The 16,390-nt window shown below is 38.5% G+C and overlaps 1 long non-coding RNA gene across 1 annotated transcript in view; it reads right to left on the bottom strand.

Moving 5' to 3' along the window:
• Window positions 1-16,390, bottom strand: part of LOC105375623 (uncharacterized) — a 31,769-nt gene that overhangs the window by 4,894 nt on the left and 10,485 nt on the right. The window contains exons 3-4 of the long non-coding RNA NR_188044.1: window positions 11,342-11,456; window positions 7,121-7,202 (exon numbers count right to left, since the gene is read on the bottom strand). This is a non-coding gene — a long non-coding RNA (uncharacterized LOC105375623). The remainder of the gene's footprint in view (window positions 1-7,120; window positions 7,203-11,341; window positions 11,457-16,390) is intronic.

The following is a 16,390-nucleotide window of genomic DNA, read 5'->3' as shown; positions in this document are numbered from 1 at the left end:
TCAACATTGTTGAAGACCATCAGATAGTTGTGCATATGTAGACTTATCTCTGGGTTCTCTGTTCTGTTCCATCGGTCTACGTGTCTGTTTTTGTACCAGTACCATGCTGTTTTGGTTATTATAGCCCTATGTATAGTTTGAAGACAAGCATTCTCGATCCTGAATTGCAGGTGTAACAAATGACAAGCATTCTGTGTTCTTGAACCTGGATTGCTAAGTGTGACATTAAAAGAGCGTAGTTCATATAGGCCATGTAAGAGCCAGATATTATGCTCATTCATACTCTTCATTATTGATACCAGATAATAAGTTAGTGTTTACTTAATGGATGTGTTAATGAGCACTTCTTTCCACTTCTGTAAAATAAATACCTTTTTAATCTCCCCATTTATTTCCACTTTTACTGACATAGTATTGATTGGACAACCATCATTTCTCATCTGTATTGCTGAAACAGTCTCCAAACTCTGTGACTCCAGAACCCAACCTATTGTTAGAATCATGAAGGAAGACTTTGAAGACCATAGATTTGAGGCCCCTGGAAAATATAATTTAATAGGTCCAAGGTGAACCACTCAAACTTATTGTTATCTTTTTAAAAAATAAGGTAGGCCAGGATTACAGTGCTCATGCCTGTAATCCTAGCACTTTGGGAGGCTGAGGCAGGTGGATCACTTGAGGTCAGAAGTTCAAGACCAGCCTGGACAACATGGCAAAACCCCATCTCTACAGAAAATAGAAAAACTAGCCTGGTGTGATGGCATGCACCCATAATCCTGCTACTTGGGAGGCTGAGGCTGGAGGATCACCTGAACCTGGGAGGTTAAGGCTGCAGTAAGCTGTGATCACGCCACTGCATTCCAGCCTGGGTGATAGAGTGAGACCTTGTCTCAAAAAAAAATTTTTTTTTTCTAACATAATCCAATCTGAATTGATTACTCTCTATGCTTCAAGCACAGCAGTTATCCTGTGTTCTTCCTTGGCCAGGATTCTCTGAATTCCCTTTCCTTCTCCTGTTTCCTTTGTCCCAAGTATTTCTCTTTTTGCTTTACTCTTTTGTTTTGAAAAAGCTTATTCTTTTGTGATGTCATAAAAAAGGAAATGAGAGGCAAATTTTATGAGATAGTCCATATATAAAAAAGTATCTATTTTATCTTGCTACTTGAGCAACGTATACAATTCTTTGGAAATATTTTTTCTTCAAAATTTTAAAGGAATTTCTCCACTGACATCTAACTTTTTTTGAGAAAATCAAAATTATTCTAATTTTTAAGTTTACTTTTCTTGTCTAATTGCTCTAGTTAGACCTTTTAGCACATTCTGATTCCTAATCTTTTGTAGATGGCCTGTAATTTCTTTTTTCCATCTAGTCTTAAAATTTCAGAGTTAAAACTTTATTGTCTTCAGTATTTTGAAATTTAATAATACTGCAACTTTCTGTGACTCTACTTTCACCTATTGTGTTGGACCTTCAGTGGGCTCTTTCAAAATGGAAAATATTCTCTTTTGGTTTGGGAAAATTTTCTTGAGTAATTTCCTTGATAAATTCCTGCTCTTTATTTGTGTTGCTCTCTTTTTCTAAAATTTGTATTACTTTTATGTTGGACCTCCTGGACTGGTCTTCTGATTTTCTTATCTTTCTTCTCTTCTTTTTAATTTCCCTCCCTTCCTTCCTCCCCCACTCCCCTCCCCTCCCCACTCCCCTCTCCTCCCTTCTCCTTTCCCTTCCCTCCCCTCCTTCCTTCCTTCCTGTATTAGTCAATTTGCATTGCTATACAGGAATACCTGAGGCTGAATAATTTATAAGAAAAGAGTTGTATTTTGGCTTATGGTGCAGCAGGCTGTATAGAAAGTGTGATGTCAGCATCTGCTTCTGGTGAGGGCTTCAGGAAGCTTCCAATCATGGTAGAAGGTGAAAGGGAAATAAGAGCATCACATGGCAAGAGCTCGAGGAGGAAACGTCAGGCTCTTTTAAACAACCAGATCTCGTGTGAACTCACAGAGAGAGAACTCATTACTGCGAGGACACTATCAAGCATTCATGAGGTATTTGCCCCCCGACCCTAACACCTCCCACCAGGCACCCACCTCCACATTGGGAATCACATTTTAACCTGAGATTTGAAGGGGACAAAACATCCAAACCATCTCCCTCCCTCCCTCCTTCCCTCCCTTCCTTCCTTCCTTCCTTCTTTCCTTTTTCTCTTACTGTCTGGAGATTTCCTCATGGCTCCCTTCTCTCCCATTTTAATTATACTTTTAATTTCCAAGGTCTTGTTTGTATTACTTTGTAACAGCATGTTATTTTTGGCTCTTGGATACAATATCTTCCCTTTTCTTTGAGGAGAAAAATTTTTTTTTCAGTGTTTAAAAATGCCTGGTCTCTGTTTCTGCCAATGTGCTTTTAAACTGCTGTGCTTCTGTTTTCCATGTTGGATTAGAGGCTTTCCTCAGCTGTTTTGTAATCCTTAGTGATCCTCTCATGAGTACTAGTAAGGGACTAAAAAGTTGATGAGAAACTCTGAATGTATGCATTAGGCTTATGGACTTTAAAACGGACTCTATGGCGATCTGGGTGGGCCGATTGCTAAGGAACCCCCAAAGTCAGTATCTGTAAATCTTTTATCTTGGCTGGTCATGCAGCCCAGAGAAGCTTTCTAATCTTCTCCCTGAAGGACAAGGCTCTGACTGCTGGCTGCTGGGAGCTGGGCTGAGGAATGCGGCTAGAGAGGGCAGTCTTGGCATTTAGCAATCAGTACACATAGGCCCCCATGTAGCTGGGGCTACAGGCACAAACCACCACTGTAGAGACGGGGTTTGCTATGTTGCCCAGGCTGGTCTTGAGCCTGAGCTCAAAGTGATCTGCCTGCCTTGGCCTCCCAAAGTTGTGGGATTACAGGCGCGTTAGCCACTGTACCTGGCCCCCAATCCTTCTTAAATATTGCAACCTCTCTGCCTTCCCCAGGTATGCCTAATATCGAGGTGTATAATGCATTTGAGCATTGTGTGGTATAAATCAGCTGTTTCTCAGTTTGTCTTATTTTTAGTTTAAGGATCCACTGTCTTGAGACTGCTTAATCAGTTACCTTTTATCCATTCACTTTCTAGTTTCCAATATTTTGTTGCTCTCTTCTTTGTGAGGTTATTTATTTTAAAAGTTCCTTTATTACCATTTTTGTGGGATTCCAGAAGGGTGGCTAAAATAGATGTTTCTTCAATCTACTGTCTTAATGTGGATGTTTAAAAAGTTTGAATAATTTAAGAATGTTTAAAATGTTGCAAATTTTTTTTAACAAATAAAATGCCAGTCAAGAAATCTGGATTGACAATACTAACTACTCTCAATAAAGTTTAAAGGAAAAATGTTGAAAGAGACTTGATTTATAAATCTCTGTCTCAGTGATCCAAATTGTTCTAAAACAAAAATATAATAATTTCTGAGTTAAAGTATTATGGAAGAAGGCTGTCCATAGCAAGCAAGAAAATTCTTTATCACATGGCAGCTACGAGCACTTTAGTGGATGAGGGAGACCCTATTGTTTGCCTCTTTCTCCTTTGATAAGAGAAAATTGATTTTATACAAATAAAAGGCAAAATCACTCCTATCTTAAGGAGATGTATCATAAATGATCTTAGCCAATCACTGTAACCCTAGGCTCCTTGCCTGTGATTGGTGTAGGCATGGGACCCAGTTTTTGCCAGTAAAATGTAAAGAGGAGTCTAATGTGAGTTTATAAGAAAGACTGTCCTCCCCTATTAAAAGACAAAAATCCAAAAAAGTTCTCTATTCTTTCCTTTCTTGGATTTTGTCATGTAAAGATGTGATACTTGAAGCCATGCTGGTCACCTCGTGACCCTGAGGTGAAAGTTAGGAGAACCAGGGACAAACAGACAGGGCCAACATATTGTTTTGCTGCAAACTTAACTAATTCTGAAACTGCCTGCTTACAGACTTTTTATTACGTAACTTAATTAAATATGGCTATGGTTTAAGACACCGTTGCTCAACTTTTCTATTTCAAGCCAAAAATAGTTTTGTGTTTGTTTATTTGTTTGTTTTTGCAATGGGATCTTGCTATGTTGCCCAGGCCGGACTCGAACTCTGATGGCCTCAGCCTACTGAGTGACTGGGACTATAGGCAAGCACTACCACACCCAGCTAGTCAATGTCTTTAAACCTGTTTTATCCTCTACGAATTAGAGTTAATATCTAGCACTTAGGGTTTTTTTAAAATGAAAACTAAATGAGATAGCATGTTAAAAATGAAAAAAAGGGTGGGGTGCAGTGGCTCACACCTGTAACCCCAGCACTTTGGCTGAGGTGGGCGGATTGTTTGAGCTCACGACCAGCCTGGGCAACTTGGGAAACCCCGTCTCTAAAAAAAAAAAAAAAAAAAAAAAAAAAAAAACTAGGTATGGTTGCACATGCTGGTAGACCTAGCTACTCAGGAGGCTGAGGCAGGAGGATCACTTGAGCCTGGGAGGTCAAGGCTGCAGTAAGCTGTGACCGCAGCCTGGGTGACAAAGCAAGACTCTGTCTTAAAAAAGGAAAAATTTAAAAAGGAGAGAAAAAGTGTTTTTCTCAGTGTCTGGCACGCTAAAGAAATGGTAGTTAACAATTATTTTAAATTAAGACTTCTATTTTTAAGATTTTAATAACTGTCTTCATAACACCCATGATTTGGCCTAATGAGTATATGCAAATTAGATACATACACAGCTTATTTTTCATGCCCAATCTGGCACATAGTAAGTACTCCATAAAATTTTAAAAACAAGTAAACATAGTAGCTATGCAATACATTTTTACTAAATGAATACATAAAAGAATAGATGGGTAAGTGAATGAACTAATAAGTGTCAACAGTTTCAAGTAACTTGATTACTTTAAATAGCTTGAAGAAACAGTAGCATGGTATCCAAATAAATTCTGTGGAAAACATAATAGATACAGTTCCTCTGGAAAACAGGATAGCATGAAAAGTAGCAAAATATAAACCCTGCATAGGGCATTGTGTAGTGTCACTTACTACTGATAAAGTAGCGCATTGTACTGTGGAAAATTATCCTGGAGCCCCTCATGGGAAATCTCTCTGAGTTGTATTAAAGGCAGACCTTGTCTCTCACTCTCTCTAGGATTTTATCTGGGAATCTCACATGCTTGTGTAGCATCACGTTTCAATTTATATAATACATGTATAGCATTTTGCCATAAACAAGACTCAGTAAAACAAATGAAATGTGCTGGAAAGGTTTCTACAGAACAAGGTGTTCCTCATAGAAGCCTGTGGCCTCTATAATTAATTCTCTTTCTTTTCTGAACTGATGGGCTCATTCTGGGCACCAAGCAGAATTCTAACTAGAATTTCATCATCTGTTGGTCCCAATCTTATCACAACAGTTTGTATTTTTAAAAGAAATACATAACATTGAAAAATAATACGATTTTCTGTTGTTCACAGGAAACATGCATTGTGCTTTTTATTGAAAACTTCTGGCTCACATACCTCTTGACGTCACATCTGAACTCAAAGCCCATTCTTGTTTTGGAATTTTTTAAAAGCCTGATTCCAAGTTCTGTAGAAATCAGCATTTAAAAGGCAAGAGCTAAAATTTCGTGATGTTTTTGATGCTGATTCAACAGAATCCAAGTTACCTCAGGTCAATATAAAGAAAGTGACTTAAACCATTTATTAAATTTGTGTAAAGTTTTCTGGAAAGAAGTAAATGATTTATTTCTAAATAGTTTATGAGCCCAAAGGCTGAATCTTAAAGCTATGGTTTTAAAAAGCCAATGCCATCGAAGAATTAATGCTCTATTTTCTTTGGTTGTTCTTCTGGAAAGCTATTGAAAGATTATGGGCACATATGTGGTTGAGAGAAAAAAGCCACTAATGAGACAGTGCCATATGCTTTCTTTACCTTGGATCTGAGCTGAAAAAATGGCTCTTGTTGAGTCCCAAGGGATGAATAGGCTTCAAGTTCAGTGGAAGACTCAGCTTGTGGTTTGATGAAGGCACACGTTCATTCACAAATTCATGAATCAGTCATGATGGAAGAGAAAGGGTGGCTGGTTTGGGTAGAACCTGACTGCATTGAAGAAATTTCCAGTTCTGATGAAAGTAGTAAAATGAAGGCTCAAACTCCAGTCGGAGAGGATATCCAGTCAAAGTGTTTCTAAATTTGGGTATATGAAAAGTTTGAGAATGACAATTATCACTCTCTGCACTGGAGATGGAGCTTTCGTTTGCAGGGTCCCAGTGACGATGGAGTTGTCTGTGACAATCCTTCATCCTCCTAGGATTGCTGTGAGGCTCAAATAAAATTATATGTAGCAATTGTTAGCCTATTGTAAGGGCTCAGGAAATGTTAGTGGGTATCATTATTATATGTGCTGTACAAAATAGCTATTGCACAGAGACAATATCTCTATAGATTATCTCAGATGCTACTCCAAATCAGGTGACTATAAAATGAGCAAGTCAGCCATTCAATCTCAGACATCCATGCCTTACTGATTCTTATTTTTATAACAAGATAGAATGGATGAAATAATTTCTGATGTTTTAGGAGAGAATTATCTTTTATCCTACAAGTATCAAGGCTCCTCAAAAAATTACTGGAAAATTTTCAGTAAAACTGAATGAAAATGATAATGCTGATTATTAGAATCAGAGCTTTTTGCCAAATTATGTGTCTGAGACAGTGCAGAAATAACCTGCCTGCCTCGCCTGCCTCACAACCTCTTCCCTCTCTCACTGTCTCTTGCCAATTTTCTATCACATCTTTTCAATATTTCAAACAAGGATAAGATACAGTCAGCTACATGTGAAAAAGTTGATTGTACATATTAAAGGAAATTGCTAAGCTGCGTATTATTGTCGTATTTTGAAAGGGTACATTTTAGAATATAGAAAAATCAGAAAGAAAAGAAAGCCTTTTAAAACTACATGAAGAAGCAAAGGAAATAGAAACCAATCTTCAGACACAGAAATATAATTAGCATACTACACAGATAAAAGCATTTTCTGGCTTAGAGGTCAGTAAAAGCATATTTTCTATACAGTTTCTAAAGGCAAGACCTTCAGGGATTTATTTATAATTTATATTTTCCTCTTACCTTGGAAATAACTATTTTTCTTAACTTCCTTTCTTGGTAGTGAAAATGATTTCCGAATGTTTGAGTTTCTTTTGAAAGTTATCTGATGGAGAGAATAAAATGTCAACATGTCCCTAAGTTTTATGTTGGTTGATCTAATCTCCATGAAGTGATTCTTTCAATACAGTATAAATACAGTTGTTACCGAACTGAACCCTGACATTTTCACCTGCCTGCTTGAGCTGGTGCACTGAAGTGTTTCACTGGAATTTCAAACTCAGCATGTACAAAATTGAACATCTTTTCTACCAAATCTCCTCTACTTTCACCTCTCAGCTGGTGGCCAATATATTCCTAGCAGTGTAGACTTTCACCTCTCAGCTAGTGGCCAATATATTCCTAGCAGTGTAGACTCATAGGTGACAGTCACGTTTGAGCTTTCTCTTCTTCCCTCTCCCTCAGTCAGTTGGTGATCTAAATTCCATTTGTTCTACCTTGACAGGTTTCTTGCACTGATCCTCTCCTTTCTATTGCCACATTTGCTTTTCTAGAAAAGTCCTTAATATCTTTTTCTAGCAGTTACTGCAATATCTTCCTAATTATTCATCCTGCATTTAATTGCATTCTTTTCCAATCCATCTTTCTCATTGGTGCTAGTTTCATCTTCCTGAACCATAGCTATGAACATGTCATTCTTCTGTTCAAAATCTTACAATGTGTTATCTCACTAAGATTAGAGCAGCATTTAAAGTTCTTCCACAATATTCACATATCATTCTGATTTTTAAAATGTCCATCATTTTTAGCCACGGATAATGGTGTACACCTGTGATCCCAGCTACTCAGGAGGTTGAAGTGGGAGGATTTCTTGAGTCCAGGAAGTCAAGGTTGCAGGGAGCTGTGATAGCACCACTGCACACCAACCTGGGCAACAGAGCCAGACTCCATCTCTATTAAAAAAAAATTAAAATGTCCATCATTTTTTAAGCATCTGTGTTAGGAACTGTTAGAGGCTTCACCTGTATTAGCTTTATTTCTCATTACTAGGCCAATGTGGTAAGACTCTATCAGCTGTTTCTCACACCTTGAGACAGGGTGGGACAGGGGTGGACGGTGGGTGCATTCTAGCTATTGAGAAGGTGCTGGTGGTCATGGAGCCCTCCCATGCTAACTCAGTGGAAGAGGGTTTTGAAATACAACCAAGGAGAGAAGAAGATAGCTATTATTTTACTTAAGTACCCGAAGTTATGCTACTAGTGGAGATATGAATCTCTTATGTAGATTCATGGAGGGAGGCTATCTGACTGGTTTTATATTCTTAAGGATAACCAAAGAAAAACAAACTAAACACCCAAACTCCAACCCACATTGGAAAATGATCTTCCTCTTCTCCTCCCTGAGACTTGAATCTTCTTCTTCTTTCTCACCCTTCAGTGAACACAGGGAAAGGGGAGAAAGACTATGATTCAAAACTTATGCTAGGAGGTGGGGCGTGGTGGCTCATGCCTGTAATCCCAGCACTTTGGGAGGCTGAGGTGGGTGGATCCTTGAGGTCAGGAGTTCGAGACCAGCTTGGCCAACATGGTGAAACCCCGTCTCTACTAAAACTACAAAAACTAGCTGGGCGTGGTTGCACATGTGTGTAATCCCAGCTACTCAGGAGGCTGAGGCTGAGAATCACTTGAACCCGGGAGGTGGAGGTTGCAGTGAGCCAAGATCGTGCTACTGCACTCCAGCCTGGGTGAGAGTGAGACTCCATCAAAAAAACCAACAAAACAAAACAATACAAATAAGCAACAACAACAAAAAAAACCCACCAAACCTTATGCTGGGAGCAAAACACCAAACCTTATGCTAGGAGCAAGCAATATTTCAGATACTAAAGAAAGCTTAAGAATTCTAGCTGCTGGGGGAATGGAAGTGTCCAGATTGGGGAAGGGATGAGGAAAACATGATGGGGAAAGTTGAAACTTTCCGGAGAGGTGATAAGAGGATAAGGAACATAAGAGAGGGTCAATGCAGGACAATCTGTTGACATAGGAAATATTCATTTGAAGACACCCGGAAGACCTGGGTAGTTAAATTGCATGTATATAATTTTAATTGTGATGAAATACACATAACATAAAATTTAACATTTTAACAATTTTTAAGTATACAGTTCTGTAGCATTGAATATATTTCATTTTTTTCTTTTTTTCTTTTTTTTTTTTTTTGAGACAGAGTCTTACTCTGTCACCCAGGCTGGAGTGCAGTGGTGCAATCTTGGCTCACTGCAACTGCCACCTTCCGGGTTCAAGAGATTCTCCTGCCTCAGCCTCCCGAGTAGCTGGGATTACATGCTCCTGGCTAAGAGCTACGAACATGTCATTCTCCTGTTCAAAATACTACAATGTGTTATCTCACTAAGATTAGAGCAGCATTTAAAGTTCTTCCACAATATTCACATATCATTCTAATCTTTAAAATGTCCATCATTTTTAGCGACGGGTAATGGTGTACACCTGTGATCCCAGGTACTCAGGAGGTTGAAGTGGGAGGATTTCTTGAGTCCAGGCAGTCAAGGTTGCAGGGAGCTGTGATTGCACCACTGCACACCAACCTGGGCAACAGAGCGAGACTCCATCTCGCCTGGCTAATTTTTGTATTTTTAGTAGAGACGGAGTTTCACCATATTGGCCAGGCCAGTCTTGAACTCCTGACCTCAAGTGATCTGCCCGCCTTGGCCTCCCAAAGTGCTGGGATTACAGGCATAAGCCACCGTGCCCGGCTGCATTAAGTATATTTCACATTGTTGTGCAACCATCACCTCCATCCATCTCCAGAATTTATTCATTTTCCCCCAGTGAAACTCCGTACTCTTTAAACACTTAATTCCCATCCCCCCTTGCTGCTGTTTCCTGGCAACCACCATTCTAATTTGTGTCTCTATGAATTTGACTACTCCAGGTACCTCAAATAAGTGGGATCATAACATCTGTTCTTTTGTGACTGGCTTATTTTATTTAGCATAATGTCTTCAAGGTTCATCCATGTTGTAGCTTGTATCTACATTTCCTTCCTTTTTAAGACTGAATAATATTCTATTGTGTGTATATATCACATTTTGTTTATCCATTCTTCTGTGACAAATACTTGGCCAACTCCATATTCTCATATAACTAGAATAGAGGTTAAAATGCTCCCCTCCTCCCTAAGTCTGTGTTATTTGGATTATCACTGAGATCTTGATAGGGAGTCTCGAACATTGCTTGAAATTTCCTGTGTGAAGTCACAGAAACTCCTCACCATCTCCAGGGGCCAATGCAATACTAGGTACCTGAGACTCTTTTTTTTTCTTTTTTTCTGTAAGAACACTGAATTCCCTACCCATCTTCTCCTTCCCCAGCCACCTTATACCCAAACCTTCCCACCCCCAAAGCCAATGTCAGGGCCATATGACCTAGATACAACTACTTTCCATAAGAAGACCCTCCACCCTTGGCCAGGCCCATTTTAATGCAAAAGTTTCTTAATTTTTAATGTTATAAACAATGCAGTCTTTCCAGACTATGGCAGGGCAGAGCAGAACTATCACTTCCCTTGTTCTAAATAATCTAGTTTTGTTTACTGTTTTGGCACCACTATGCACTTAAATTTCCTAAGTCTTTCATGTAAGTCATGGCTGAGACATGCCTATTCTGACTGTGTGGGATGTCACCTAGGTAAGTCTGAGTTAGTAAGTGGCAGCGCCAAGAGTTGAGCCCAAATCTGTCTGGATCAACACTCATACTATTTCCACCATCCCATTACCTTTCACCTAGAGATAGTCAAAGTCTCCCATCAGGTAGAGACTGCCTGGGCCAGATGGAGGGAGAGATGCACTGTCCGTGGGGAGGAATCAAGAGTGGTGGTAGGGGCATGTTGTGTATAAAAACGGCACTGATCATTGACTTTTAAGTGTCTCAAGCTGCTGCTTCATATTTCTTTCTCTAATATATTTTTATTATAGCCTTAAAAATCATCATGTGGCCATGTTAACTTCAAAACTAAAATAACGGTTTTAGAGGAAGTGCCCAAGAGAAATAATTGCTCCTCCTTTTCCTATCTCTTCTTCTGATAAACAGCCATCTCCTCATTTCTGGCCTTAAATTTTACAACTTCCCGGTATACGTTCTGACTAAACTAACTAAACTGATTAATTGTTCCTTCAACATTCAATTCACTTCTTCATTTCAGTCTATTTGTGTATAATATTATCACCTGGAATGCTTTCCTTTGTCTCCACCTTTGCTATCAGGATGCCAGCCTTAATCCTTCCTTGAAATCTCTGTTCTCTAAACAGTAGGAGTCTTCTCTCTAATGAACTCTCAAGTTCCTACAGAGAATTTAACAAATTTTGATATGTATTATAGATATGATGCATATGTATTTCCTCATTTCAGATTACAGACTTCTAAGAGGCAGGAACATATTTTATTGTTAAAGTGTAAGTTTCAAAATGGTAAAATCATGACTCTTATACAAATGTAAAATAAACTTGTATCAAAGATTATGTCATTAATTAGTGAGAGAACTAGTATGATGCTAAAACAGGTTCAAATGTGACTTATAGAGATTTATTTTCCTTATGGGACAAAATTAATTTACATCATCATGAACAGGAATGATTTACATTGTTATCAGTTTTCTACAACTTAACTTCTATCCTCACAGATTTGCCAAAAGCATAGACAACCTGAAAGTATCAAAGGTCACATCCCTATAGAATTACATAATTCCAGAGGATCTTTCTGCTAACTCCCAGGATTCCACTGAAAGGATGCCAAGTAGTCTCTGCTGGCCATCTCCAAGTCAGTGACAAATTTTCCTTATATTACCCATCTTCATTTATCATAAAATGCCAAGAATGTGAATCTTATACTGGAAAAACAATATACCACTGAATAAGTATTATTACTGTTATTTAGAAAATATAAAACAAACTAGAAATATGAAAAAAAGTCACAATTAGGTAACTCCTACAAGTACATTTGTTACATTTTCTACTAAATTTTAGGCCATTTAATGAATTCTAAGCTTGTCAGGTCTTTAACTTAAGAGCAATTTTAGTATTACTATTTAGGAACTCTTCTAGTTCCGGGGAGTAGGCAAACCCAACTCACCTAATTTTAATTAGCTTACCCAAGACATATTTAATTTTAATGATTAATAAAACATAACACAAATTTTTAGGGAATGAAATAAATTATGCTCTGGGCATTCCCAAAATATGTTATTTTGATTGTTAGTACCTCAAACAACTTAGTTCTCCCAAATGATTCAGTAAGTAAACTAATCTTTTTTTTATTATACTTTAAATTCTAGGGTACATGTGCACAACGTGCAGGCTTGTTACATATGTATACATGTGCCATGTTGGTGTGCTGCACCTGTTAACTCGTCATTTACAATAGGTATATCTTCTCTTAATGCTATCCCTCCCTGCTCCCCCCACCCCACGACAAGCCCTGGTGTGTTGGAAAAAACTATTTTAAAGTTCATATGGAACCAAAAAAGAGCCCACATTGCCAAGACAATCCTAAGCCAAAAGAACAAAGCTGGAGGCATCACCCTACCTGACTTCAAACTATACTACAAAGCTACAGTAACCAAAACAGCATGGTACTGGTACCAAAACAGATATAGACCAATGGAACAGATAGAGCCCTCGGAAATAATACCACACATCTACAACCATCTGATCTTTGACAAACCCGACAAAAACAAGAAATGGTGAAAGGATTCCCTATTTAATAAATGGTGCTGGGAAAACTGGCTAGCCATATGTAGAAAGCTGAAACTGGATCCCTTCCCTACACCTTATACAAAAATTAATTCAAGATGGATTAAAGACTTAAATGTTAGACTTGAAACCATAAAAACCCTAGAAGAAAACCTAGGCAATACCATTCAGGACATAGGCATGGGCAAGGACTTCATGACTAAAACACCAAAAGCAATGGCAACAAAAGCCAAAATAGACAAATGGGATCTAATTAAACTAAAAAGCTCCTGCCTAGCAGAAGAAACTACCATCAGAGTGAACAGGCAACCTACAGAATGGGAGTAAACTAATCTTAACTATATTTTATCTAAACCTTCTAAAAAGCATTTGACAATAGAAATCCTTTAATAGGCTGGGTGTGGTGGCTCACACCTGTGTCCCAGCAATTTGGGAAGCCATTGTGGGAGGATCACTTGAGCCCAGGAATTTGAGAGTAGCCTGGGCAATGTAATGAGACCTGTCTCTTTAGTAAAAATTGTTATATATATATATATATATATAACATGTTTTATATATATATATATATGTAATATGTATATATGTATGTGTATACATATTGATAGGTAGTACTATGTGTAGGTTTTCCAAATTGTGTATTATTTGTTTTGACAGGTAGTACTATTATAGGGATTTCATTAACAAATAGTACACGTTTTGGAAAACGGACACATAAAATAATACATGAGAAGTTTATTGAAAATTTTTGTCTTATAAATTGAAAAGGAAACTAAGATTATTTTTTCATTCAAGGAATATTTATATGCCTACTATTTGCCAGGAAGAACTTTTCAGGACTTGAAATGTATTCTGAGAGTGGAAATGGAAAATAATCTAATAAGTAGGAAGCTGCAGCATCATGGCCCATTTACCGTGATAAATCATATCTACACAGAGATGCTTTCCTGGTACCTGAAGGAAAGGCTATGAATCAACGTAGAATGTACATGATGCAGTTTCAGTTGAGCTTAAAGACACTAAAGAAACCAGGTCAGTTTTGTGCCTATGTAGGACCAAACTAATCTCTATAATTAGTCCAGCTAAAATTACTTAATTAATGAATATTCTTAATTAATTCATTAAAAGACAGTCCAAGGTTACTGACTTTAGGCTTTCAGAGGAAAATTCAGATTAACTGGTTTCTGGTCCAGGAAACTTCTCGCAACTGACTTTTTGCCAAATGATTGACGGACGTGCAGACCAGGTCAGGTAGTAAAATGGCAATTTCCGTGGGCAACTTGGTTTGCATTCCTCTCATTGTAATCAGTGTTGGCACTGCATTAATTTATCTTCCTAATCACTTCAAGGGCCAGAGAACATTCCAAAGAACTAGGGCCACATGTCACCTCTACAGCAAGAGTCTTGGAAGCTGTTTCTCATGGATGTTGGAGGAGATTGGAGAGGCACTCCCGCACAGGGTCTGTTGGGAGGAAGAGGAGTCCTGAGGTGACTGCTGTAGGTGGCTGTTCCACTCCCAACAGCAGCTGAGGAGTGGCAGGCAGGGTGCTAGGGCCAAATATTGATGCTTACTGGAGGAATCCCTGGGAGGAGATGTGGTGCAAAAGGAAGGGAGATGCAGACAAAATCAGGGGCAAATTTCCCTGCGAAAACCCTGAGATTTCATCATTGCCACTGAAATTCTGTCATGGGAAAAAAATCTAATGCATGATGGATGGTTTTAAAAAATGTTTAATTTAGTCCACCTTACATTCTACATTACTGCTAACATGGCCGTCATTAATATGTAATTCTTGAGTGCTTGCTGGGTGGATGCTATTTAAATAGGAAATCTGGAATTATTGTAAACCATGGAAAAGGGTGGATAATTTCTGGAAGATTTAACAGAGAAATCAGCAGTCACATATTAAACATAAAAATTATATATAAAAGCATGTCCATATAAACAGCTGAACGGCTATTTTAGCTTTGAGTTATTGTGTTCAGATTGGAGATGATACATTCAAATTGAGAACAGGTTATAATCTGTTTATATTGGAAACAATATGTTATAAAAGCATTGTATACACTTTTTCAATAGTTACCTAACTAACATTAAGCTTATGAGATAAATCCTATTTAATAAGGACTCAGTTATAAAACTATTTCATGTACTTAAGGTACTATGTTCTTTAAATACAGTCTTATTATGCCACCTTCATTCCCACCAATGGTCCCATGAATCACTGGAACCACTCAGATAACAATGACAGACTTAAGTTACATAATATCTGTAGGCTTTCTGGCCTCTTACTTATAGGCAAACTCTTTATAAATGGGAATATGAAAGACAAGATTAACTACAGATATGATTCTTTTAAGGATTCTGGTGTCTATTAACTCTTTGTCAAGTTAACCCAAAGAGATTCAACTAAGGAGTAGGTCAGAAAAAAATTATCTGTCTTTTGGGGAAGGGAGCTGCTATTTTCCATTTGAAATCTTGACTCCCCTCTGTGTGAGAGTGGTCCCCTCAGAGCACACCTGCCCTACTCTGGCTCAATTGCAAGCCTGGTAAAAAGCTATAAGCTCCTATCCAGGGGCACCAAGGTAGACAAGGTTAATGAAGTAAAGGCCCACTCTCCTGTACCGCCACCCGCCATTGCAGTATACAGAACAGTTTCCTCAAACTTTATTACATTGTTCAGTGTAATTCAAGAGTGATATCAAATATACTTCAAATGTGACTGTTCCCAAGTTCATAGGGCAGGGGTCCACAGGTACAGATTTGTGGCCTGTTAGGAACTGGGCCACACAGCAGGAGGTAAGCAGCAGGTAAGAGAGTGAAGCTTCATCTGTGTTTATGGTTGCTCCCTGTGGCTTGCATTACTGCCTGAGTTTCACCTCCTGTCAGATCAATGGCAGCATTAGATTCTCATAGGAGCGTGAACCCTGTTGTAAATTTTGCACACAAGGGATCTAGGTTGTGTGCTCCTTATGAGAATCTAATGCTTGATGATCTGTCACTGATATGGTTTGCCTGTGTCCCCACCCAAATATCATCTTGAATTGTAGTTCCCATAATCCCCAGGATCCTACAGGGATCCTGTAGGAGGTAACTGAATGATGGGGGTGACTACCTCCTTGCTGTTCTCATGATAGTGAGTGAGTTCTCATGAGATCTGATAGTTTTATAAAAGACGTTTTCCCTTTTGCTTGGCACTTCTCCTTCATTCCACCGTATGAAGAAGGACGTGTTTGCTTGCCCTTCTGCCATGATTGTAAGTTTCCTAAGACCTCCCCAGCCATGAGGAACCGTGAGTCAATTAAACCTCTTTTCTTTATAAATTATCCAGTCTCAGGTATTTCTTCATAGCAATGTGAGAACAGAGTAATACAGTAAATTGGTACCTCAGAGAATGGGGTGCTGCTATAAAGATACCCAAAAATGTGGAAACGACTTTGAAGTTGTGTAACAGGAAAAGGTTGCAACAGTTTGGAGGGCTCAGAAGAAGATAAAAAATGTAGGAAAGTTTGGAACTTGCTAGAGACTT

Source organism: Homo sapiens, chromosome 8 (genome assembly GCF_000001405.40).
Source record: "Homo sapiens chromosome 8, GRCh38.p14 Primary Assembly".
Classification (NCBI taxonomy): domain Eukaryota; kingdom Metazoa; phylum Chordata; class Mammalia; order Primates; family Hominidae; genus Homo; species Homo sapiens.
The sequence above is the reverse complement of the archived record's forward strand: the minus strand, read 5'-3'. Positions and strand labels throughout refer to the sequence as shown.